The sequence below is a fragment of the Homo sapiens genome, chromosome 6, assembly GCF_000001405.40.
Source record: "Homo sapiens chromosome 6, GRCh38.p14 Primary Assembly".
Taxonomy (NCBI): Eukaryota; Metazoa; Chordata; class Mammalia; order Primates; family Hominidae; genus Homo; species Homo sapiens.
The window spans coordinates 96582355-96609783 of record NC_000006.12 but is presented as its reverse complement, the minus strand read 5'-3'; the positions used below and the strand labels follow the sequence as shown (position 1 = coordinate 96609783).

The window sequence follows — 27429 nt, the reverse complement described above, 5'->3', positions numbered from 1 at the left end:
CTGTGTGCATCACCATCAGTGCCATACTGAGTCAAGGTTACCTTACACAGATAAGCAGTTGAAAATCCTTGTTGAATGAATGAATAAATGCCAAAGGAAAAAATAGTTGGAAAGCAATTCCAATATTGTATCTAGCAGTGGGGTGCTGTGGGAATTAGAACTCAATGGAATAAGCCCTGGTTGTACATTGAGCCTTAAGGTGTGATGTGCAGTGTTTTGCCTGAGATGTAATTAGTTCTGCATAAGATAATATTTTCTTTCTAAACCAATTTAATCCATGAATTCTACTTTTTAAAAGGCTGAGAAATCTTTAGTTAGAATCAGATGGATAAATCTTGGGCATTTTTTCTCATGTAACTATTTTTAAGCCACATCACCTTTTGAATTCACAGCTAATGAGCTCTTAGAATTGCTGTAGATACTGGAATGTGTTTTTGTAAGTGTTTTATAATGACTGAAGCAATGGGGTATCTGAGGTGGTTCCTATAACCTTTGTATCAAATTAACTAGGTAGTAAAAACTTAGAGCCTATTTTAAGCCGCCTCGTTGTTTACGAACTCAAAAATGTTATTTGTCTGTTACATAGACTTGTGAAAAAATTATTCTAAAGGTATTTTTAATCTTATAACAAATATCTTAGAAATTAAAGATATTTGATATGAAAGATATTTTCCTAGAGGGAAAAAAGCATACTATTCTGAATAAGTAAATGGGAAGCATAATGTTGTGATGGAAGTAAAGCAATTTAAAATACCTCCTACTGACTTCCAATGCCTTACAGCAGACACAGCAGAATTCATGATTCCTTTGATTTGTTTGGTCTGATGATTAGCAGGCAATGCTTAAAAGATCTGAAACTTGAAAAATGTATTCACAGCAAAATAAAACTTGATATATACACCAAAGACTGTTTAATTAGAGAGAAGAAATTCTGGAACATCAAAAATAGTTTGCTTGTGATTATATTCCTTTTGAAGAGGTAGGAAGGTAAGATAAAGTCTAATATCTAAGCTTGGTTTTCACCACTGATTGATCTCAGGATTTAGAACAAGTTTGTTCTGTGAAAAAGTGGGGGCAATAATGATTTTGCACTCATTATGTGACAGATGAAAAATCGAAGAAGACGTTTAACTCCTTTTGAACCTTGAGGAGTTTGAATTTGAAGCACTTGTAGTTTAAAATCATTTGCTTTCTGGCAGAAAATAAATCTTAGTTTAACAAAATAAAATCTATGGATTTTAAAGCTTAAAAGTTCTAACAGCCTGGTTGTCAAGTAGTTTTTCCTTTTTTTAAGAAAATATTTGGTCTTTGGTTTGGGTTGAAAAAAATTGTTTAGATTGGATCATCTTGATCAAAAACAAATCTAGCTTTTTAGAAAAGGACTTGTGGTTTTAAAAACTAAATAAAAAATAATCTGGCATGTCATAATCTGTCTACTACCCAATATAAATATTTTGTAAATTTTTGATGACTTCAAATCATATCCTAAATATAGTTACAGGCTCCAATAACCTGGGAAACATCAGCACTTGGCCCAGACAGTGCTCAGCATGGATGTACTAAAGAAGTTTCACTCTTGAATTGTTATAGCATTGAAAGAGTCTTCATTATTGTGTCTGATAAATGATTTTAGGATAATTCTCACAAATATCATTACTGTTTTAGTCTGTCTTTAAGAAATGCAGCCTAAAATTGGCCAACTCAGTTGTCTCTCAAAACAGTGAGATAAACCTATTCATTTTATTTCCAGCAAGATTTTATTTTCTTTAGTTTTTAAGTTTTGTATATTTTTTAGAGATAGGATCTCATTGTCACCCAGGCTGGAGTACAGTGGCTCAATCATAGCTCACTGCAGCCTTGAATTTCTGGGCCCAAGTGATCCTCCTGCCTCAGCCACCCAAGTAGCTGGGACTACAGGCACGTGTCACCATACTTGGCTAATTTTTAAACTTTTTTTTTTTTTTATACAGACAGGGTGTCACTATGTTGCCCAGGCTGGTCTTGAACTCCTGGCCTCAGGCAATCTTCCCACCTTGGCTTTCCAAAGTGTTGGGATTACAGACGTGAGCCACCATGCCCAGCTCCAGCATGTTTTTAAATGCCGTCATTGACCCTGGTAATTCTTTGGAGCTTCATATGTCATATGGCTTGATTGCTGCTTGTAAAGTCACCTTCTAAGCCAGTGTTTTGGTAGAGTAATGAAGGTCTCAGTCATAAGATTATTTTATGTCATGTGATCAATTGTAATTCTCAGCCATCAACATAGTGTAATTTAATAATGATAACTTAGCATAGTGTATTGCTGCCTCTTTAAATGCAGTAGTGGTATTGGTTATGTATGTTAAACAGTTAACTGCGTGTGTGTGTGTGTGTGTGTATGTGCATGTGTGTTCACATATGTGTGCATAGAAAGTGGTAGTGTGACTTCCAGCTGTCCAGATATACAAATGGGCTTAAGAGTTCTGCCAAAGTAACCCACAGATAAAAAATACTTTGAAACCACTATACTAATCCAATGTATTTTCATGATTCAGCTTTCTCATGACAATTTATGGTGTCATTTTAAACTTATGATGCCTCGCAGGTCAAGGATTTCTTTGAGAACCTCCATATATATTTTATGGAATGCAGACAGGCTTCATCAAGGTGTTAGAGCTACTTTTTCACATAAAAGCTTAGAGGATAAAAAAAGAATTGGATGAAGTTTACTTCAAAAATATTACTTTTTTTTTCTCTTAGAAAATGTTTTTTTTGAGTGGGAAGCCAAGTCAGAAGGCCCTACATGATCCTGGAACTGGAGTGAAGGAACTTGCTGCTCTTAGTCTTCTTTCTGTCTTTTGTCTACTGAACTTCCCCCATGATCTTGGCACTCTCTTGAGCCGATTGCCCTACTCATAGGAAATACAAAAGCTTCAAGTCAAGAAGACATTTGCATTGCTGAGAAAGAATGTGAGAAGTTAAACATCCTGTTTAACTTGGTTCCCTTAGTCACTTTGTGAGGCAAATCCATATTTCTCTGAAACAGTTAATACTGAATAGATCAAACATTATTTTTTAAGAAACATCTGTATTCAAAGAGAGACCTGTGCTTTCTCCCAGAATACGTGAGATCTTGTATAAAAGCAGTGAATGGGCCGAGTGTGGTGGCTCATGCCTGTAATCCCAGTACTTTGGAAGGCCAAGGCAGGTGGATCACCTGAGGTCAGGAGTTCGAGACCAGACTAGCCAACATGGTGAAACCCTGTCTCTACTAAAAATACAAAAATTAGCTGGACACAGTGGCACGCACCTGTAATCCCAGCTACTTGGAAGGCTGAGACATGAGAATCTCTTGAACCTGGAAGGCAGAGGTTGCAGTGAGCCGAGATTGTACCACTGCACTCCAGCCTGGGTGACAGAGCGAGATTCCATCCCAAAAAAATAAAACAACAACAACAACAAAAAACAGTGAAATGAACTGGAATACCAAATCACTTGAGCTGTTTGGAATATTAAATTCTTGTTGTGGCTGGAATTTTATGGTTAATAAAAAAAAAAAAGATGGTCATGCTCATCGTGACAACTAGTGGTTTGGACATGTTGAAAGTCCAAACTACCATGGGTGTGTTGATTACAGATATAACATAATAGTATCAGTTCATTCTAAATATATGATACAGCTAAAAAGAAATAGTCTGAGTTTCCACAAGCTTCACCCTCTTTAGAAAATTACCTTCTTACAAAAGTTGCAGTAGTGAGCAAACTCCTTCTCAAAACATGGCACACAATAATTGCCACTCTCTTTGGAGATCAAAGGCTTTGTCCCTATAGGTTGTCGGCAATTCTCACACACAAAACAGGTTTCATGCCAGTAGTTTCCCTTAAATTCCATTTTGCGGGAACCTGTACTCCAAAAGTAAGGCCATGTTAGTATAAGTCAAGCATAATTTTATTTTTTAAGCAAATACAGATCAAATTACTTAAAAACGTTTTAAGTTAAGATGATAAATGAATTGTCCTTTTAGAAAAATAGTATTTTTTCAGGTTCAAAAAAACCCATTCATCTGGAGAAAAAAAAATGGTTAATAAAGTTTAGCCATGATGATGGAGAATCACTCTTAGACTGAAAACTTTTTCAAGCTCTGCATAACCTATAATCTGGAGATGTAAAAGTACTTTTAATGGAGACTCCTAATGGTTTCACATGGTTTGGATAAATTGGGCCATAATAATCATTACAAGGGTATTAAAAATGCCCAGAGCACAACTACTGAGACTATACTGTGCAGTTATGGCCTTCTAGAAATTCTCTGAATCCATAATAAGAAAATGAGAGAGCAAGAGTGGCAGAGAATGAATTATGTTCTTATGCTGCTGACCATAGAGATTGAGAAGATCAAAATATAAAGAATTAGTCCTTGCCAAAAGTGGAATGATATACATGAACCCTGTCTTCCCTAAGAGAGAATAACAATAACCGATCCTCAAAACAGTTTGTGTCAAGCTACAAAATGGCAGTTGGCCCCAATCGCCTATGATGAATCACTCTTTCTGATGCCATTGATTGTGCCTAGGGCACTGTGTTTAATGTAGTGTTATTGGTATACATTTTGTCTTTATTTTATGGGTAAGATTCTGGTTTGAAATGTTTCTATGAATTAGACTATATGAAAATACACAGAACACTGTAATTTACCTGTTCAAGGATAATGAATGAATAATCTTTTTATTTCTAAAGTACACGGAAGAAGATTGAGAGAGTAAGAAAGATATCTTTCTCAAAACCAGGGTTTTGGGAGCTGCTGCACTCCTCATGTGCTGGGACTTAATGAAAAGCATCACAGCTTCAGTTAGAGACAGGAGCCCCCTTGAGACCCTACCAGGCATGATGGTCCTCTTGCAGTGGAAGCACTTGGAGGAGCACTCGTTAGAATAGCACTCCGTGCACAGCAGGCGCTCATCCTTGGCAGCAAAAGGCTTTTCCACCAAAGAGTGATTGCATTTGGTGCACTTGAAGCATCCTTCATGCCAGTGCCGGTCTTTGTAACAAAGATCCTTTGAGACAGTAAATAAAAGTTAATTAAATGTGGTTGTGACAATACAGGCCATTTTATGAAACAAAACTGAACACTCCTGGGACTCTCATGTCAGTAGGTTGTGCTAGTAGCGTGAGGGAAAGTTGTTACTGAAACTGTTACCCATAGAGAGGAGACTCTCTGGGGTAATTAAGAGCTAGAGCCCAGGGCTTTCTTGGTGGGTCACTTAAGGCAGCTGGGAAAAAACAAATACATTCTCTGCTGTGTCTTCAAAATTTGCCTATATTCTTTTTATAAACTATAATAGAGGTTTTTCATGGAATGATTTTTAAAAATTTTAGGGTGCAATGTTCTATTACTCTTTGAGATGTAACTAAACAGACAAAAAATAACATCACCTAAGTAAAACAAAGGCAGAAAGAGGGAAGAAAGAGACAGAGAGAGAGAGAGAGAGAGAGAGAAAGAGAGAGGAAAATAATCGGAGGATGGAAGGAAGAAAAGAAGAAAGAAAGAAAGAAAGAAAGAATAAGCATGTCGGAGGAAGGGGTGGTAGGTGTGAGAGGTATCAATAGGGTTTAGTAAGAAATGAAGCTGATTTTACATCAGAAAACAGATTTTGAATCCTTTCAACTTCAATTCTTTATGCATTTATTTATACCCTTGTCATTCCAGAAATAACAAACACACCCAGAAGGTTACTGAGAGCTTGGAAACAGCAGGAAAATTCTAGCTGTGTAACTTTGGACAAATAGCTTAACCCCTTTAATCTTTAGCATTCTCAGCTACCTTAGAAGATCATGTGAGGATTAAGCATATGTTGTATTTCATAGTGCTAAGTGTAGTGGCTGGAGCTTGACTGCTGGTAACTTTTAAGATCCTTATATATCCAGTAGCAGAGAAATAGTGTTGAAAGTCAACACTAAATGAAAAGAGGCACTCCAACCCACTTGTTTGCTGTTCATAGGCAGTAATTCTGTAAATTGAGGTGAGACTTACCTTAGAATCAGATTCAATTGGTTTTTTGCATTCCTCGCAATAGTTAGAAAATACACGATCATAACATGTAACACAGTATGGACTGTCATCCTTTAGTACATATTTCTTCCCAAGAAGTGATGCTGTGCAGTATTGACAGTAAAAGTGAGCAGTTGTCATTTTGGTTTGATCCTATGAATGACAAAGTGATTAATGTATATAAAAGCAGAATTTTGTTTATAGGATAAATGATGAAACCTTAATATAATGTGAGTGAAGCATTTGAATGAACTTATATTTTCTTAAGCAAAAATCCCCCAATTTAGGAAAGTATGCTTATAGTCATGGTGACATTTGGAGTGATTTAGGAAAGATTACTCTCCCATCTTGGCAGTTCCCTGTATGTTTTGCTAAAAAAAAATGCATAAAACCTGCATCTAGATTATGAAAAACATCTTGTGTTTATCATAAGCTAATGTGGAATTCAATGAGAATATGGTATCTGTTGAAACAGGATGGTTTTACCTCAAGGATATAAACTGTTGCTAGGGCTTTTAATAACTATCATCACTTACTTTCTTGCTGGAAAATTCTAGAGGCAGATTTTGATGGAAATAACAGTCTTTTTTACTCAAATATAAATTAATAATCAGTACATTGTCATTTTCTAGTTCATTCTTTTACTCCTCAAGTCTTTACTGAATACCTAATAAGGGCTCTGCACATTTACCCTGAGGTCTTCGTGTACTACATCCCCTCCTTGGCTGTGGCTTCCACCATCCCAAATGTGCTGATGACTCCAAAATCTCTGTTTTCTGCTAGCTTTAGATATCTTCATTTAAATGTCCTTTACCAAACTGGCCAAATAAAACTCCTCAGCAGGTAGGATTCTCAGACCAAGTGCTAGGTCTTTGTGACTATTGTGAACAATTGCCCAGATGCAGAAGTGCAGATAAAATCATCAGTGGTAGAAAACAACAATGGGTTCCTTCAGGCTTTAGGGCCAAAGTAACATGTATAGAGCATAAATAATAGCAGCAGCTATTCCATTATAGCTATGGATAAAATAGCTAGAATTCATCTGCAAGGCAAAATGCATTCTGTAAGATGAATAAAAAAGCTGATATGAAACATAAAGCCAGTGATAGATAAGGACTCTGATTGTTTTGTAAATTTGGAAAGCCATTAAGAAACAATGCACAGCCTGTAGTCCCAGCTACTCGGGAGGCTGAGGCAGAAGAATGGCGTGAACCCGGGAGGCGGAGCTTGCAGTGAGCCGAGATTGTGCCACTGCACTCCAGCCTGGGCGACAGAGCCAGACTCCGTCTCAAAAAAAAAAAAAAAAAAAAAAAAAAAAAAAAAAAAAAGAAACAACGCATATAGATTTCCAGGTTTTAATTAGGCATTGAACATGAATTCTTTGTTGTTACAAAAAAAAATTAGCACTGCTTTTCCTTGGAAAATGAGATTTGTCATCTCAGGGTTTACTGGAATATATTAGGAGCTTTGAATATTTTCTAATTCTCCCCCCACATAATTTTTCTTTTAATTTTAGCAAAATCAGAGGAGCAATTAACGATAATACAACAGAGTTTTTGATACTAGTTTGTACTGACTACATTTGAACTCTTATTCTCATGCGTTTTGCCTTATTCTAGTGATGAAATTCCCAGCAGAGAGCCTTGCTGAATGCACATGATTATTAATTCTGTACATAGCAGTTTTGCTATATTGTTCTTCACTAACAAGTAGAGAAAAGGCAGAGGATTTGGAATATGTGGGTCTTTTCCCAGGAAAGAGATGAAATGCAGACTAGAAAGTTCGCAATGGAACATGGCCAAAATTATCTAAAAGGAACATTGAATTCTCCATTTGATTAATTCCACAGAAATGTTCCTTCCTAGTGAATACAAACACACTCAGAGGGTTACCGAAGGCTTGGAAACAGCAGGAAAATAGATCTAATTCCCTTGAAAGGTTTAAAAATAAAAGTTGTATTCACATTTACAGCGATCAAGTGTTTGTCACTTTATAGAAATAAAATATGTACCTTTAACTCTCTTCACTTAATATGGAAAACGTCGTTTTCATTAATATTTATTTTAGTTTTAGATGTGTATAATAGCATCATGAAACACGGCCCCTCAGGGGTTAGGAACTGCAGTCTACTGCCATTTTGTGAGGCTTTTAGTGTATTATAAAATGAATATATAAAACATATAAAACCACAAAAGGGATTACCAAATTGATAATATTTCAATTGTTTATTTTAAATGACACTTTAAACATGACAACATCAAAATACCTGTAACTTATTTAGTGATCAGATCAGAAGTCTAAATATAAGACAAGACGGTCCTTCTCCCACCCCAGTCCTAATTACATAACAGGCCTGGATCCACAGAAAATGCCTTACAATATAGACCATATTTCTTAATTTTTTGTTTTGTTTTGTTTTTTGAGACAGAGTCCTGCTCTATTGCCCAGGCTGGAGTGCTGTGGTGTGATCTCGGCTCACTGCAACCTCTACTTCCCGGGTTCAAGCCATTCTCCTGCCTCAGCCTCCTGAGTAGCTGGGACTACAGGCTCATGCCACCGTGCCTGGCTAATTTTTGTATTTTTAGTAGATATGGGATTTTACCGTGTTGGCCAGGATGGTCTCAATCTCCTGACCTCAAGATCCGCTCACCTCGGCCTCCCGAAGTGCTGGGATTACAGGCGTGAGCCACCGCGCCTGGCCTCTGGAAAGAAGAAATTCACTTCTTATTCAATTCTGTTTTGTAAAAGCAACATCAGGGAGTTGGGTAGGGTGAGAACAGAATCAGTCTAATATCTCAAAACCTTGTGATTTTATACTTGTAGGACTATACAGTGGGAGGAAGCATTTGGTTCAGGTCAACATTTCTTGAATATTTACTTAGTGATTTGAACTCCCTGCCCACTCAAGGAGTCTGGATTATCTTATAGCTCGTATCTTAGTAATAGTTAATGTAATTTGAGGTAAGTGAGCAAACTGAATGTTTATCCTCTTCTTCTTGGTTAGAAAAAATACACTAAGAAATTCATTCCTCATTTTCATGAAGTCTATCATTTAACTATTGATCTTTGAATACATCCAAATAGTGTTTCTTAAAAATAGAGGTATTATAACTATATAAATGATACACACTCTATTAGAACCATATAGAATTCTTAGAGAACTATTATAATAGAAAGGAGAGTGAGGAGAGACCTTCCTAGGAAGATCTTAAGGAAGTTAAGCTGTTGGAAATCTGTTAGGAAGGAAGGAAGGTTGGAATAAAGGAATGAAGAAAAGAAGCAAGGAAAGAAAGAAACAAGGAAGGAAAGATCAAACTGTTTATTGAGGAAGGGAAAAGAGAAGTGAGAGAATGGCATAGGAGCTCATTTGAAGATGGGAAATGTTGAGTCGTGAGAATAAATTTTCACCTGGGTACATTAAGGATGAAGAAGGATCTTGAAACTTTTAAGCTTTTTAACTTTAAAGCTTTTTCTGTTCTCACCCTACCCAACTCCCTGATGTTGCTTTTACAAAACAGAATTGAGTAACAAGCTTTTGATTTGAACTTTGAATGCAAGTAGTTCTAACTGGGATGGAGCAGGCAGAAGGTAAGAGTATGAATTTTTCCAATCTGACCACTTTTTACTATCTTACAATTTTCTAAACATTATTCTTTACTTTTTCCTCCTCTTTGTCACTAACATTAATAGATTAAAATTCTCAGGGAATAACTCTGTGTCCAGAAGAGCAAGCCAAATAGCTTGTTTTAACCATTCCCTAACAGGTAGAGCTGTAGGAAAGAGGATGAGGACTATGTGATTTTTGTCTCAGGAATCCGCACCTGAGGGCTAATTTTCAAAGATATTGGAAAATTTTTGCTTTCAAAGATTAAAAATTCTTGAGCAAAGCTGTTCTTATTTATGAGCTGTAAGAACTATTAATATAAACATGTACCCCAATTGGTTAGCATTCAACTTTTCTAGGTGTGAACTCAGCAGTGCTAGTCATTCACTTGCAATATATCACTTAGACATTCTTGTCAAACTTCTTTCAAAGTTATTCAGCAACTAACACAACATTTAAGCCCGGAATTTTTATCTTTGCATATTGGGATTTTAGAAGGTTTATTTAGAGGTGCACTGATATATCAAAGAACATAATGAAGACAATGAGTAGAAGACAGATGAGTAGTTCAGAAATTCAATGGCGTGAATAGACTTGGCTTTGTTTTTCTAGTTTGCTCCTTTAAATTTTAGATTTCTCCCTAAAAAGATGTAAGTTTGGCTGTGCTGTGGCTCACGCCCGTAATCCCAGCACTTTGGGAGGCCAAGGTGGGCAGATCACCTGACGTCGTGAGTTTGAGAGCAGCCTGACCAACATGGAGAAACCCCTGCTCTACTAAAAATATAAAATTAGCTGGGTGTGGTGGTGCATGCCTGTAATTTCAGCTACGAGGGAGGCTGAGGCAGGAGAATCACTTGAACCCAGGAGGTGAAGGTTGCAGTGAGCCTAGATCGCACCATTGCACTCTAGTCTGGGGAACAAGAGTGAGACTCCATCTCAAAAAAAAAAAAAAAAAAAAAGATGTAAGTTCACTGGTAATAGTTTCTGTAGCTGAGAATGTTATTTCTTAGGTGCTATTTTTTAAATAGCTATTTTTGTATTTTATAGTGAGTTATTGATGAAAAGCCTAATGCTATGAGTAATATATCCACTTAACATTCTTAACATTTTTACTATGCTATGCAGAATGAATAGACTCACAAGAAGTGTAGTTGAGAACATTTCATGTGGGAGAGAGGCAAGGACTAGGTGCCATCCCTGGTATCTTTAATATACTATTGTTTGCAAGGCATCACACACCATCTATTTATTAATGCGTTTGAAAAACATGTAAAATACATGTCATTTGCAAAGTAATTTGCTACAAGTTGTAAAGGATATAAAAATAGACACACTGTCTGCAGAGAGCTTATGATCTAGCAGGAAGAGTAAGGACATTTCATAAATCACTAAACAAAAGTTAGAAAGTGATGAGAATAAATGAAAGGTTATAAGTTTTAGAGCAGTAGTTCTAAACATTGGGTACACATTAGAATTTAAAAAATATCCAAGGTGCACCCCTGCCTCAAACCAAATAAATTAGACTTTTTGGGAGTGCACTAAAAATAAGTATTTTTCAGTTCTCAAGTAGTTCTAATGTCCAGTGTGGGTTGAAAGCCACCCCCTTAAAGAAGGAGGAAGGACAATTACTTTCAGCTAGGAAAAATTCAGGAACAACTTGAAGCAGTGGCATCTCAATGAATTTTGTAATGGATATTATGGATTGGCCTTCCCAAACTTGGTTTTATCCTTCTTCAAGTTGGAGGGATCAAGGAGCTAAAGGCATTTCCTGGATCCTCTTACAGTGTGTGTTCAGGATGCAGATTTGGCTCGGCTACAAACACATGTGAAAATCTGCAGGTGAATATGAAATGAAAGACATGTTCCTGCTGCTGTTGATGGTGGCAGATTGGCTGGCTGAGATGTGAGTGGTTTCTATCCATTCAGAATGCCAGGGTTCAGTTTTCCTAACTAGTGTTTTGGCTGTGAGAAACAGTTGTGGCAGTACTCGTGGTGGCAGCAGCGAGTTGACCTCTAGGTCACCAGCAGAATGGGTGTGGAAGCAGGCAAAGGGCAGTCTCTACCACATTTGGGGTAATTTTAGAAAGACTAACCATAATATTTAATACTCCTTTATGTTTCCTGAACATATAGGCTGAGTCCTGTGTCAACTACTGTATGTGGATCTTTTTAAATCTTTGCAATGGTTTCCTGAGGAGGTCTATTATTATTATGCTCATTTGATGGATGAGCAAACCAAAACTTAGGAGGCCAAGATCACTTGGCTGATAAAAATGCTAGGTCTAGTGTGCAAGTCTATACCTTTTAGAAACTGAAGCCCAGGATCTTAGCCAGTGTAAACCTCCCCTTTCCTTGAGATGTGGAGAAGGGCATTTAGATGCAGCAGCAGAACTGGGAAGGGCAGTGACACTTGTATATGTGAACACTTGTATATGACACTTGCATGGAAAACAGTAAGTACTGTATTCTAAATGGCTTGCAGAGCATGAGAGGGTAAATATTGGAAGATAAATTTGAAAAGGAAGACTAGGGCAAGGTCATCAATGGCTTAAGTTTCATGCTAGATTTGAACTTTTTTCTATAGAAAAAATATAATCATTGATGACTTAGAACAGGTAAGTGCCATGTTTTGAGCTGAGACTTATGAGAATTAATTTAGAAACAGTGATAGAAGGGATTAAAGATAGATATACCATAAACAGGAAATCAATTCGAAACTCATTTTTCAACATGTGGCCTAATCAACAAATGTCATGCCTTCTGTACAAAATGTGATTTTTTTTGTGTTGGAGGGGAATACAGAGAATCAATGAGCTATTCCCCTTAAGGGAAAATTCATTAAATAAACAAATCATAAAAATAAAATATATTAATCAATTTACATGAACAAGTAATTATATATAATGTATAATGTTAAACACATGTATACATATTAAATTATATTGGTATATATTATATATATAAAGAGAGAGTTGCAGAGACTGTGAGATCAAGTGATAGAAGAATACAACCATGTATGAAGTCTTGGAATTCTGAGAAGCCAAAGACTGAGTCTTGTTTAAGGGTGAGTATGAAGTGGAAATGAGGAAAGGATGGAAGCATTTGGGGTATTCATGTTGGAGGTAATGATGGCTTGATTTAGAAAAGAGTATTGAGATCATGTGTGGGAGCAAGATGCAGTAGGACTTAAAAAGTGAATGCATCTGGGAGAGAGAGAGAGAGTCATTCTGAAATTTCATATACGGTTCCTGGTAGAATTAGTATGCCACTAATAGAAGACGGGAGTACAGGAAGAGAAACTAGTTGGAAGACAAGATTAACTCAGGTTTAGTTATATTGAATTTGAGGAACTAAACTAGATAGCCATCAAGCTGTATGTTCAAAATACTAGGCATCAAAATGTCATGTTAGATTAAGAAGTTTAGACTATTTTCCTGGATGAGCTAATTGGTAGTTGAGGAGCTACAATGGTAACTGAAGTTATGAGACTGAATGAGACCATCAAAGAAACCCTAGTGTAGAAAAGTGAAAAAAAAAGATAAAATACAAACTCACGGATAAATGCATGTTATGTGATGGGAAAGAGATGAAGCAGATATCGTGAAGGTCACAGTGTTTTCAAAGACAAAAGAAATGAGAACTACAAGAAGAGAATATATATTAATAACAATTAAGGAAAGTGTCAACAAGAAGGTAAATGATGTCTTCAAAAGAATAGTTTGGAGACACTAAATTGTCTGATGTCAGATTTCAGAGTTAAAATGTGAGTGACAAGATGCTCATTGCTGACAGCTTAGAAAATTGCATGTTCAAAAACACACGCCTAAGGAATAAAAAACGAACAAAATAAAATGTGTTGCCGAACTGGCAAGAAAGTAAGGGAAAATCTCAGAGGCTAAAACTAAAAAGAAAGCAGGAAACTAGAAAGGTTAACACTCTCTAAAGGAGCCATTTGTCCTGAGGATGTCTTCTGAGCCATGATGACCTTGTTATCCAAGTATTTACAGCCTGAACTTATACTAACTGTAAGGTCTAAAACTCTTAGGTTTTAGTTTAAAAGGCTTAGTTTAAAATGAAACACAAGAAAATCCTCTATGAAAGAATGTCCCATCATCCTAGGCCTAAAAAAAATCATACATATAAATTTTCATTGAGCATGAATTCACAATTAAAATATTTAAAATAAGAATAAGCAATGAAAACAAGCAGTATAAGTAAAAATCCAGCAAAGAAAATACTTGGATCACCAACAAAACAATTTCACATGAGAAATAACAGATACAAAATGGAAAATAATGTTTAACATATTTAAAGACATAACAGAGAGCATTATATAGAAAAATTCAGGAGAATAAAAATGACTAGGCAGATTTGCAACAGAACTGATAGAAATAAAAGAGATAAAAACTTATCATTAAAATTAAAACAGATTAAAATGCAGATTAGAATCAGTTGAAGGGAAAATTAATAAACTTGGAAATAGAACTAAAGATATACTATAAAATACAATGAAGAAAGAAAAAGAGATAGAAAATATATCAGTTAAAAAGAAAGTAGAAGATAGAGTAAAAGAATTTGACCTAAGTCTTTACAGAATTTCAAAAGAAGATAATAGAGAAAATGAGAAATATGCAAAGGTTGGAGATAGAATTGAATTTCCAAGAATTAATGACATTAATATACAGATGCAGAAAGTAAAACAAATTTCAGGCATCATAAAAACAAACACATCATAGTAAAGATGTCATATTCCAGAGACAAAGATGATCTTAAAGACATTCAAAGAGAAAAAAAAATGTCTAAAACACCAACAATTAGATATGCAGATAACTTCTAAACAGCAACAATAGAAACCAGAAGAAACTGAAATAATGCTAAGAGAAAATAAGTAAACTCTAGACCTGTATACTCAGTGAAGCTTAATTTAAAGAATAGGATGACATAAAAACATATTTAAGTTGACAAAAGCTATGTTTACTACCAAAAAACCTTCACTGAAGGGAATTCTAAAGAATGTGGTTTGAAAAAAAAGAAAGAAAAAAAGGAAACTCTCTAACGGAAGGTTTAGGAAAACTGAAGACAAAAAGAAAGAATAAGGAGCAAAGACCTCGACTAACATGCAGTTACACAAAAATAAACATTGACTGTATGAAAAAACAATAATAATTTGTGGGGTTCAAAAACACATAATAATACTAATGTACTGGGGAAAATAGCATTTAAGTGAGGAAAGAGTTGATTGTTAATCCTTGTATTGCTGGAAAAGAATACATTAACTGAATTACATTAAGATTAAGCATTCTCATGTTAAAATTTTAATAATAAGTCATTAGATTTGTTAAATTTTAATGGAAAACTCTAAACATAGAAATAGAAATAAGTAAAACAAAATTATTTCATAGAAAGTACGTAGGAAAAAGAAAACTAGAAAACTGAGACATCACAAAAGAAGAAGATATATGATACATTTTAAACCCAAATCAAACCAAATGAGTGGTTAAACTTTCTTGGTTGAAAACCAAAATATTCCAAAGATGATCCAAAAGTAACTGTCAACATCTGCAACCAATCTGAGTTCAAATCCCAACAAATTCTTGTCAGCTTCAACCAAAGATTAGATGAAAGGGAAATATAGTTTTCTTTAATACTATTTGAACCCAGAGGTCGGCCTAATTTAATATTTTTGTTAACTGTAACTCAGCACAACACTTGACAGAAACTAAAAGTTCTGCCCCTTGACCTAGCCATGTGACAAGAAAGGAGTGCATCCTCTGGGGGTAAAACAAAATGAAACAAAAATTGTACATGTGTATTTTGTTCCAATGTTTGGCAGGCAAAAAATTATAAGACACCTCAAGAAGTAAATACATACATACATATATATATATATATATATATATATATATATATATATATATATATAAATTCTAATATTTATTGGATCCTTTTCCAGTTCTTTCATTTTTCTGCTGAAATCATTTATACATTCACTCATTCTGTTCATTTCCTTCCAAATATTTAACATAAGTATAATAAAGTCCCTGTGGGGGCTTATGTTTAAAAATATTTGTAATAGAGAATTCAATGGATAAGATTATCAGCAGACTGAAAAAAGCAAAAGTAAAAATCAGCAACCTTGAAATGAAACAAACTAATGCATAAAGAGAAAATTCACTAAATGAAGATAATAGAAATAATTTTTCCCCAAAATAAAATTGTTGAAAGACTTCCAGTCCAATAATGGTACTCTGTATAATTCAAACCATGAGGCTGCTGTGAACCACTAGAGAAGCTAGTACTTAAAAAGTGTACTTAAAAAGTGTAGCTTGGAGGCATCAGAGAATTAATATTACAGTGAAGAATAGGCAAAGTCCAAAGGAAGGAGAAAAGCGTAGATGAGCTTGGTATTTGCTTTCCACAGAAGAATATGTACATCCAAAAAGATAAAATGAATAGTCTGAGAAGCTGTATGGCACTTCTGACAGCCTAGAAAGGCTAAGGGGACAAAGATTGAGGTCAATGGACCTTCCATGTAGCAGGCCTGGTAAGCTTATCATTGTGTAGGTGATATTTCCAAAGAGCTATGCCCTTGGAGTAACGTAAATTAGAAGTAAACTAGTATTTCAGAGATGGAAGCCCAGCTTTGAATTACCTCAGTTTCTAAAATTATATTAAGATAACCTTGGAATTCTGGTATCCCTAGGTGAACACCAGAATAAATACACATCCTGTCTGAAGGAAGAAAACATCATCTTAGGCCTCAATTACTTCTACACCAATGTCTAGCACTAAACAAAAATGACCATGTTCAGAAGAAGACAAGGGAATATAAAGAATAGAAACATACATGCAGGAAGCCATAGATTTTGGAGTTATAAGACAGAACATAAAACTATCCTTAATATGTTCAAGGGGGTAAATAAAATAAGGAGCAAAAATTTTGCAGAGAATTAAAAACAATGAAAAAGAATGAAATGTAAATTATAGTACAGAAATATACAATGATTTAAATTAGGGACATAATGGGAAATTTTAGAAAAGATTGTATGAAATGAAAAAGATGATAAAATAGAAAATAAAATTAAGCATGATGATAAAAGGTATAAAAAGTACAATTAAGAAAGTAAGAAACATAGATGATAGAATGAGAATGAGAAAAGAGAAAAATATACAAGTTGTATTTGAAGAAACAATGGCCCATCTTCCAAAACTGACAAAATACATGCCCCAAATTTTAAAAACCAAGAAAACATGAACCTCAACTGACCTGAAAAACACACTTGGACACATCAGGGTACAACTACTAAAAACGAAAGACAAATAACATATCAAAAGTAGATTATAAAATGTTGCGGGAAGTCAGGGACCCTGAACGGAGGGACTGGCTGAAGCCATGGTGGAAGAACATAAATTGTGAAGATTTCATGGACATTTATTAGATCCCCAAATTAATACTTTTATAATTTCTTATGCCTGTCTTTACTGCAATCTCTAAACATAAATTGTGAAGATTTCTTGGACACTTACCACTTCCCCAGTCAATACCCCTGTGATTTCCTATGCCTGTTTTCACTTTAATCTCTTAATCCTGTCATCTCGTAAGCTGAGGAGGATGTATGTTGCCTCAGGACCCTGTGATGATTGCATTAACTGCACAAATTGTAGAGCATGTGTGTTTGAACAATATGAAATCTGGGCACCTTGAAATAAGAACAGGATAACAGCAATGTTCAAGGGAATAAGAGAGATAACCTTAAACTCTGACCGCCAGTGAGCTGGGCGGAACAGAGCCGTATTTCTCTTCTTTCAAAAGCAAATGGGAGAAGTATCACTGAATTCTTTTTCTCAGCAAGGAACATCCCTGAGAAAGAGAATGTGCCCCTGAGGGTGGGCCTCTACAATGGCCCCCTTGGGTGTGGCCATCTTCTATGGTCAAGACTGTAGGGATGAAATAAGCCCCAGTCTCCCATAGTGCTCCCAGGCTTATTAGGACGAGAAAATTCCCACCTAATAAATTTTGGTCAGACAGGTTGCTCTCAAACCCTGTCTCCTGATAAGATGTTATCAATGACAGTGGTGCCCGAAACTTCATTAGCAATTTTAATTTTGCCCCGGTCCTATGGTCCTGTGATCTCGCCCTGCCTCCATTTGCCTTGTGATATTCTATTATCTTGTGAAGTACCTGATCTCTGTGACCCACACCCTATTCGTACACTCCCTCCCCATTGAAAATCCCTAATAAAAACTTGCTGGTTTTACAGCTCAGGGGACATCACGGAACCTATCGACATGTGATGTGTCCCCCAGATGCCCAGCTTTAAAATTTCTCTCTTTTGTTCTCTGTCCCTTTATTTCTCAAACTGGCTGACACTTAGGGAAAATAGAAAAGCACCTACATGAAATATCGGGGGTGAATTTCCCCCCGATATCTGGCTGAATTTCCCCTGATAATAAAATATTACTTTCAGATTAATAACAAATTGAGGATACCTACTTCTCAACAGAAAAAAAAGGAAGCTAGACAATGGAGAGATATATTCAAATTGCTGAAAAAAATTAGCAGCCAACCTAGAAGTCTATGCCCAGGTAAAAGATCTTTTGACAATGAAGGTAAAAGCATTTTCAGGCCATCAGAAACTAAATTTATTAATCATCCACCCACGTTAAAATAATACCAAACAGTGTTCTTTGGGCAAAAGTACACATTGGAGATCACAGGTGCGGAAAAGAGTAGGGAAAAAATGAAAACCGTAAACATGTAGATGAATCTATGTAAATCTGACTATGTACAACAACCCTGTGTCAAAGAATTAGAAAATTTAGGTAAAATGGAAAAATCTAAAATAAATAAAACTATTAAAATTGACACAAGAAGAAATAAAAAATTATGACAACTATTAGATAAGTTGAATTTGTAATTAAAAAGGCTACATACAGAGGGAAATAAAGCCAAAGTGGCTTTACCAGTGAATTTTGCCAAGCTTTAAAGAAGAAATAACAGCAATCTCACACAAACCAAATCAAGTAAGTACAAACAGAGAACATGCTCTGGTAAATTTTGAACTCATTAACACTTTGGTATCAAAATCTAAAATCATTATGAGAAAGGAAAACTATAGGTCCATAATACTTCTGACAATAAATACAAAACCCAAACCCAAATAACAAGCAACTAAATCCAGTGATATATGAAGAGATTAGTATATCATGATCAAGTTGATTTCATTTTAGGAATGCCAAGTTCAGTTTAAAATTCAAGAGAATCACTGTGTTTCAATAATTTTACCAAGTAAAAGTGAAAGCTGTAAAATTACCTCAGCAGCTGCAGAAAAGGCATTTGATAAAATCTTACTTCAATTTATGATTAAAAACTCTTAACAAACTAAAAATGAAAGAAACTTCTTCAATGTGGTTTAAAAAAACCTATAGCGAACACTATACTTAATGGTAAATGTTGATAGCTTTTACTCGGATTATAAATAGGAAAAGAATACCCACAATCACCACTTCTATTCAGCTTTATACTGGAAGCCATAGATTTTGCAGTAAGGTGAGGGAAAAAAGTACAAGAGTTAAAAGGAAACAAACTCATTATTTGCTGATGTTCTAATTGTGGAGAAAATCAAAAAAATTCTATAATACCTGATTAGAATTTACAAGTTAGTTATTAGAGTTGCTCAGTAAAATGTCTATATATAAAAATCAATTGTATTCCTATTTAACAATAACAAACAGTGAAATGAAAAAAAATCATTTATGATATTTAAATTCCCTGAGAAACCTAATAAGAATGTATGAGCTCTCTACATAGAAAATTATAAGACTTTGAAAGAATAAACAGAAAACCAAAATAAATACATGGAAGGAAAATACCATGCTCTTAGACTTGAAGACTTACTATTGTGAAGGTATTATTTCCCCTTCATTTGCCCTATAGATGCAAAATAAAATTCCATCAGGTTATTTTTTTACAAGCTAATTCCATAACTTATAAAGAAATGCAGAGGGCCAGGAATAGTGTAATCACCTTTGAACAAGAACAAGATTGGAAGACTTGCTAAGTCAGATATCAAGACATTATAAAGCTACTATAGTGGATGGTATGGTATAAACACAGGATTAAATACTTAGATCACCAGAACAGAATAGAGAGCTCAAAAGCAAGTCTATACATATATAACACATGACCTAAAGGACAGTGAGGAATAACGAAGAATAGGAATGGTCTTTTTAGTAAATGGTGTTGGGTCAATTGTATTTATTTCCATATGAAAAAGAATGAAACTAGATTACTACTTCACATGACATATAAAGATTATTTCCAGGTGAACCATAGATCTCAGTGTTAGGACAAAGCAATAATCCTTTGAGAATATAAGAGAATGTCATTATAAACTTGTAATGTGAAAGGTTTCAGAAATAAGCCAGAAAATATGCTGGCCATGTAGAGAAAATTTAATACACTAGACTAAATTAAACTTAAGAACTTCTGTTTCTCAAAAAACACAAATAAGAGTAAAGAGAGAGCCAAAGAATGTATTGCAATTCATTAATTAACAAAGAAGTCATATCCAAAACATGTGAAGAAGTCCTACGAATCAATAAGAAAAAAAATGGACCACCCAATAAAAGTACAAAAGACTTGAACAGATACACAGAGGAGGATAACCAGCTGGCTAATAAACATGAAAATGTTCTCAACTTCATTAACAACCACTGAAAGATAATTTAGCAAGTTCCTTGATACAAGGTCAATATAAAAATATCAGCAAAATTCCTACACATCAGAAATACAATGTTAAAAAAATACAATATTCAAAAGCAATGGAAATTGTACTTGTCTTAAATGTAACAAGATGTATCTGAAACTTTAATATAGTGGAAGAATTTGTTGTAAACAATATAAGAACTTGTCATCATTAAGGCAGTGTAGTATTGAAACAGGATAAACCAAAGACCAATGGAGGAGAAGAGAGAATCAAATCAGATCTATGCATATATGAAAATGTGATATGTCAAAAATGGTAGTTTAGAGGGGGAAATAATTATTTAAGAAATGATACAGAAATAATTGGTTATTTACATGGGAAAAATTAAATTGAATCCATACTTCATACCATACTCAAAACAATTCCATCATCAATATGAAAGGCAAGTCTTTAAAATATGGAAGTAAATTTCTATGATCTTATGATCATATGTTAGGAAAATTTTTTTAAAAAATATGAAAAACACAAACTGTAAATGAAAAGGTTGTTACTTTTTTTTTAAAAGAATTGCTCATTAAGAGACACTATTTAAAGAATGAAAAGACAAGCCACAATATAACAGATGATATTTGCCACACAAGTAACTGAAAGAGAGTTAGAAAACAAAATATATAAAACATTCCTGTGAATCAATAAGTGAATTAAAAACAAGCTAATGGAGACTGTTTTTCCATTAGCTTGTTTTTAATTCACTCATAATAAGCAAATATTTTCTTTTGTAACTGGAAAATATTTATTTTAAAGAAAGCACAACCTACTCTTAATCAGTGAAATTTAAATAGATCTGTTCAACAAACCAAAATGAACTGCATTTATACTCACAAAATATGAAAAGAATGCTGACAATATCAAATGTTGGTGAGGACAAAGAAATAACAGGAGGCCAGGCGCAGTGGCTGATGCCTGTAATCCCAGCACTTGGGAGGTTGAGGCAGGTGGATCACCTGAGGTCAGGACCAGCCTGACCAACATGGTGAAACCCCGTCTCTACTGAAAATACAAAATTAGCCAGGCATGGTGGTGCATGCCTGTAATCCCAGCCAGTTGGGAGGCTGAGGCAGGAGAATTGCTTGAACCTGGGAGGTGGAGGTTGCAGTGAGCCGAGATTGTGCCATTGCACTCCAGCCTGGGCAATAGAGTGAGACTTCGTCTCAAAAAAAAAGAAAGAAAGAAATAACAGGAACTCTTACGTGTTGAAAATAAGTATGCAAAAATGAATGGATAAAATCACTTTGAAAAACAATTTTTCATTACATTGTAAAATTGAACATATACCTTTCATGTGACTCAACAATTTCACCCCTAAGTGTGTAAATTTGAGAGAAACTTTCAGCGATGATGTGGAACAATGCTCACAGCCACGGAGTTTATACTAGCCATAGCAAAAAAGTCTGAATGTCCATCAAGGGAAAAATGGATAAATAAGTAGATGTGTGGTCACACAACATATTGTCATATGGCCACAAAAACAGATGACTTACAGGTACCCTCCTTAATGCAGAAGAACTTTACAATATTGAGTAAACAAGCAAGTTGTAGAGAGTAAATATACCAGAATGACATTTATATAAAGTTTAGAACAGCCAAAGTTTATTATTAGGAATTATGAATATGTGCTTTTATTTTTAAAAAGCATAGTGATGATTAACAAAAAATTCAGGATGCAATATAAGATTATCTAATTTTCATAGTTATTAAAATAAATTGGGATGTTGCACAACGGGTTTCAAATATAAAGGGGATGTTTTCTTTGTTAAGCCAATTTGTTATTTCTTACAGTTTGTGTATATGTTATGAATACTCTTTTCTATATAAGGAGACTTCAAAAAGTTAATAGAAGTGGAATTAAGAGATAAAAATTAAAAATATAAATTTATTTCTCAACATAAGCTCCATCAAGTTTGACACTTTTGTAAGTGATGATATCAGCCATATAATCCATTCCTAAAGAACTGAGGATCCTGGGAATTTAACCATGTAAATGTAGTCTTTTTACATAAGTAACTGAAGAAAAATAGGTGCCCTTTAAGGACTTTTTTAAGATTAGGAAACAAAAGGAAGTCAGAAGGAACCAAGTCGGGACCATAAAATGGTTGCCTAATAATTTTCCATAGAAATTCTCACAAAATTGCTCTTGTTTGATGAGAGAAATGAGCAGGGGCATTGTGAAGAACTCTCTGGTGAAGATTTCTTGTGCGTTTTTCAGCTAAAGCTTTGGCTAACTTTCTCCAAACACTCTGATAATAAACAGATGTTATTGTTCTTTGGCCCTCCAGAAAGTCAACAAGCAAAATGCCCTGAGCATCCCAAAAAGCTGTTGCCATGACCTTTGCTCTTGAATGTTCTCCTTTGGCTTTGACTGGACCACTTCCGTCTCTTGGAGGCCATTCCTTTGATTGTGCTTTGTCTTCAGGATCGGACTGGCAAAGCCGTGTTTCATCTCTTATCACAGTTCTTCAAATAAATGCTTCAAGATCTTGATCTCACTTGTCTAAAATTTCCATTGAAAGCTCTACTCTTGTCTGCAGCTGATCTGTGCAATCGTTTTGGCACACAAGTGTTAAGTTTGCTCATCTTATTTTTTTTTAGTCAGAATTGTGTAAGCTGAACCAATTGAGATGTCTATGGTGTTGGCTATTGTTTCTGCTGTCAATTGTCAGTCCTCTCCAATTAGGGCACAAAGGATTAATTTTTTCCTTGCAAATTTATGTGAATGGTTTGCTGCTGCAGGCTTCATTTTAACATCATCTCATCCCTTCTTGAGACAAGTTATCCATTTGTAAACTGCTAATTTCTTTGGGGCATTGTCCCTATTATCTTTACATAAAGTATAAATTAGTTCACCTTTCTTCCTCCCAAGCTTCACTGTAAATTTGATGTTTGCTCATGCTTCAATTTTAGAAGAATTTATGTTGCTCTGATAGAGACTCCTCAAACTGATGTCTTATCCTTCTTGTTGCCTCAAACTAGATCCTTTTCAGACATGTTATAACAAATTAGTATGAGTTTATTTCAGTGTAAAAAATTTTTAAACACATGCTTAGTTTTTAAATAATGTGTATTTTCCATGAACTATTTGAAGTCCTCTCACAGATTCAATGTTTTTTAAAAAACAAGTGGATCATGAATAAGTAATAGTATGTATTAAACCAGCCTTTATATTTCTACATCCATTTGGATTATTTTTAATAAAACAAGAAAGGGCTTTGTGTGCTCATAGTGGTCATGGAAGTTGTGCTCACGAAGAGCTGGGATGCTTGTGAATTGAGCAGATGAGTGAATTGTGAGGAAGACCATTGTAGATGCAACAGAGGGAAGAGGAAGACAATGAAGTTATTTCTTTTTTTTCCTTTCTTCCCTCTCCCCTCTCGTTTCTCTTCCCGTTCTCAATACTCAGCTACCATGGAACTGTGCAAGGCAAGAATATGTTTACAATATGCACAAGTTTCAGTTAACACAGCATTGTGCAAATAAATACGCTACTTATATGTGTCTTATTACTTTCCTGCTATAGATTACATGTTTTTAAAGAGGGCTTTTACTTTCTTATGGTAAAGTTGAAGTGCACTAGGATATAATTACGGTCTTCTGGTTTCCAATAATGACTCTCTGTTCATGTGTTTTTGAGGAATTTTACTTTTGTGCTATAATTTCAGGGAGGTGAATTACCATATATTCTTATTCTAAATACCAATTATAAGTTACTGCATTGATTTGATTGCAGCTTTTTGTTCCCCATGGAGATAGGTAACACCATATAAAATAATCACATTGATATGTGTCTTAAAATACAGGATATAGAGTAGGGTTTTTTTTTAAGATTACTTTTTTCTCTAATATATGATCTGTAAATTTTACTAAATAAATGCAAATAGCACCATAATTATTACTTTTGCATATAAGCAAAAGTGCACTGCCCTTTAATGTAAAGTCTGCTGGGCTTTCTGGTTTAATTTTCATCTGGTTATTCAAAGTAGTTTTACCTGTATAAATATATCTATGCTCAGCTGGGATTGCCGCATGGCTATCCCAATTGCCTATTCAGGTCTTTATTTGATTCTGTAAAGTAGATTTTTTCTTTTTTCTTTAGGGAAGTACTTGGAAGAATTTAAATTTAAATGGTGTAAAGAATATTAAAATGCTCTTGGGAAGACCTAATGCAAACTGTTGAAGTCTTTGAAACTTGTGTGATTGACATACAAAACTTGAATAGAGACAGAAACTGGATGAAGAATCTAGGTTTAATCTACAATTAACTGGATTTACCTGTGGTCATTTTCTTGTTCAGGGTTTTAATTTGAATCATTGCTCTTAAGGGCAAAAGGTGACTGATGGACAGTCAGTAGGATTTTCGAAGCCTGACTGAGCAAGGTATACTGCTCTATTCTCTACAAAGGGTTGCTGAAAACATCTGCAGTGCATAGTTAGACAATACACCTAGTCTCCTAAGGCAAATGTTTCATTCTCTTTTCCTCCCTACACTCCCCACACATTTATGGGTTACCACATCCTATTAATTCTACCTTAGAAGCATTATTTAAATATTAGTTTAATTAGGCTTTCCTCACATATCTGGTGGACCATATTGGCTTACATTGAACTGAAAATATTACATATTTCTTTATTTAGAGGAACTAAGCACATGTCTACTACATGACTTTGTTCTCTAATGATAAATTCAATTTTCCTGGAGAATTCCAGAACATCCTCCATGATGCTTGATAAAAATCTCACTCAGCCTCATCTGATCATCTTTCTCTGGTGAAAAACTTCCAACAGCTCTTCTTCGACTATAAAATCTAAACTCAACTACTTAGCATAGAGATCTTTGATTATCTTCTCATTTCTACTTGTCTCACTATCTCCAGCCCTTTCCCCACCCCAGACTTTCCAACACACACACACACACACACACACACAAACACACACACACACACACACACACATATCCCACCTGTGCTTCAGCCACTTCCAGTGTCTCCCTATTCCTCAAATACACTCTGTTCCATTATGCGTTTCAGTTGTCACACATGACTCCTCTTCTATTTCTAATGTACTTCTCTTTGCTCCCCATCTACCTCATCCATCCAACCTGATGATTATCCTCATCGGTCAAGGTCCAGTGAAAAATCCTTCTCTCTGTAGCATTTTCATATATTTCAGGGCAGAGTGGTTGTTCTCATTAGTTCATATTTATGTCTGTCTTTCTTTTGCCACATTTTGTAACAGTTGTTTTGTCCTATGTATGTCTTTCTCACACCACTATTAGCTCCTCAAGGCTAAGGATGCTGCTTACTTTATCTCTGTATCTCAGGAGGCGTAGCATGATCTCAGTAAATGTTTTAGGACTGAATAATTGAACAAATAGAAACTTCTTGTTCTTTAAGAACTTGGAATCCAAAACAAGCACTAATGAAAACACATATACGAAAAGAATTCTATGAATAGAATAAAGGATAAAAACTTGAATATAAAACAGTTAAGAATTTGCATGTTATGTATTTACTTGAATGGTGAATTAATTCATATCTGTTACACGTATAGCAAATATGTCAAAGGACGGAGCATAACAGCTAGGGAATAAAAGTTAAAGCCCTAAGGTCCTGCCATGGCAGGGAGAGTTTTTTACTTTTTCTGTGAGGGTGACTGAAGAAGGCAGCCTTTGATATTCAATTGCCCTTTGAATATCAGCCAAGGAAGATATCAAAGAAACAGCAAAAGTAGGTGGTTAATCTGTTGACAAGATTAAAGGGCTTTTCTCTAAACTTCGGGCACCAATGAGCTTCCACTAACAGTTTAAACTGTTCGATCAGATACTTCAGTTCTCTGTTGGGAGCTGCATGAGCCTTTCTGGTCTATGCATAAAACTTTGGAGGCTACCGTATCGTGACAGGACTGCGAAGTCATTGTCCATTGATATCTATGATGTTAACTGAAATGTTGGTGCAATGAGTGGCTGAATTTGACAAAATTTAGGGGAGTTAAATTAGTTATATGAGAAAATTAAATCCTCCACATTTATTATTAGTCTGTAAACTAGGCCAGATGGGATACATGCACATTCTACAGTAGAAAAATTTAAAATTCACGTATTTTAAAACTACGAAAAAGTTAGAATAATTAGTAAATAGGCTCTACTTTTAGAATTTCATTTTCTTTTTTTCCACTTGGTTCTGAGGGTCAAGTTGAACAGATCTGTGTGTACTTCCTTATTTGTTTTTTGCTTGAAACCAAAGACATAAATACCAAGAAGAGCATTGGGTTAAAAATCAAAAGCTACAGATTCTCGTGCTGGTTGTTTTAGCCCTAGCGTATAGTTTGTCCACAGTTATGAAAGCCATGTAACTTTTCTGGCCCTTTCTTTACCTCTGAAATGAGAATTATATTAATTGCTTATGATCCCACTCAAGGATCAAGTGAGATGTAAGAATGGAAAAGTCATGGGTAAGTCAGTTGTAGGTGTACTTGGCTTGATGGAAAATGTGCAATTAAATTATAACTGTAATTTGCATTTTGAAGAAGGAGGCTCTTTCCATTCCCCCTCCCAAATGCTACTTAAAAAAAACTCAACAAACAATCTTAAAAATAACTTAAGCCATAACTTCAGGCCATCAATCAAAAATAACCTAAAACAAGCATCATAGAATTGTGGTGGAATGTTTGATATTAGTCTCTAGGGACATATTTGCAAGCACAGTTTGTTGGAAGCTGAATGTCTTGTGTGGAAAGGTTGAACACAAATTCTCCAGAGAGCTGATGAACTACTCTCCCATGAAACAAAACAGCTGACTAGAGCTTTCCATTTGGCTAATTTCTTCTCTGGACACTAACGAAGAAAAAAAAAAGTGCTTCATATGGTTTTCTTGGAGAGTTTACATTTAGAATCATGTAATTATGGCAGCTATTACTGAAATAGAAGTAAAATACAGTATATAATAGCATATAACAATATTTTATCAAACATTCTTTAAGAAATAAAAAAGAAGGGCTTTTAAAAAATACGTAGGTTTAATATCATCCTTTTTTT

General features: G+C 34.9%; 1 protein-coding gene across 5 annotated transcripts in view; it reads right to left on the bottom strand.

Annotated features, from left to right (window-relative positions):
* Window positions 1–27429, bottom strand: part of FHL5 (four and a half LIM domains 5) — a 56053-nt gene that overhangs the window by 8843 nt on the left and 19781 nt on the right. For 4 of the 5 annotated variants that reach the window (NM_020482.6, XM_047419567.1, NM_001170807.3 and 1 more), the window contains 3 exons: window positions 6012–6182; window positions 4860–5034; window positions 3713–3882 (listed from right to left, as the gene is read on the bottom strand). In NM_020482.6, the coding sequence (NP_065228.4) occupies window positions 3713–3882; window positions 4860–5034; window positions 6012–6170 (504 nt within the window). In that variant the 5' untranslated portion in view covers window positions 6171–6182. Of the gene's footprint in view, window positions 1–3712; window positions 3883–4859; window positions 5035–6011; window positions 6183–8631; window positions 8732–27429 lie in introns of all 5 variants that reach the window. The other variant, NM_001322467.1, reaches the window with a different exon arrangement.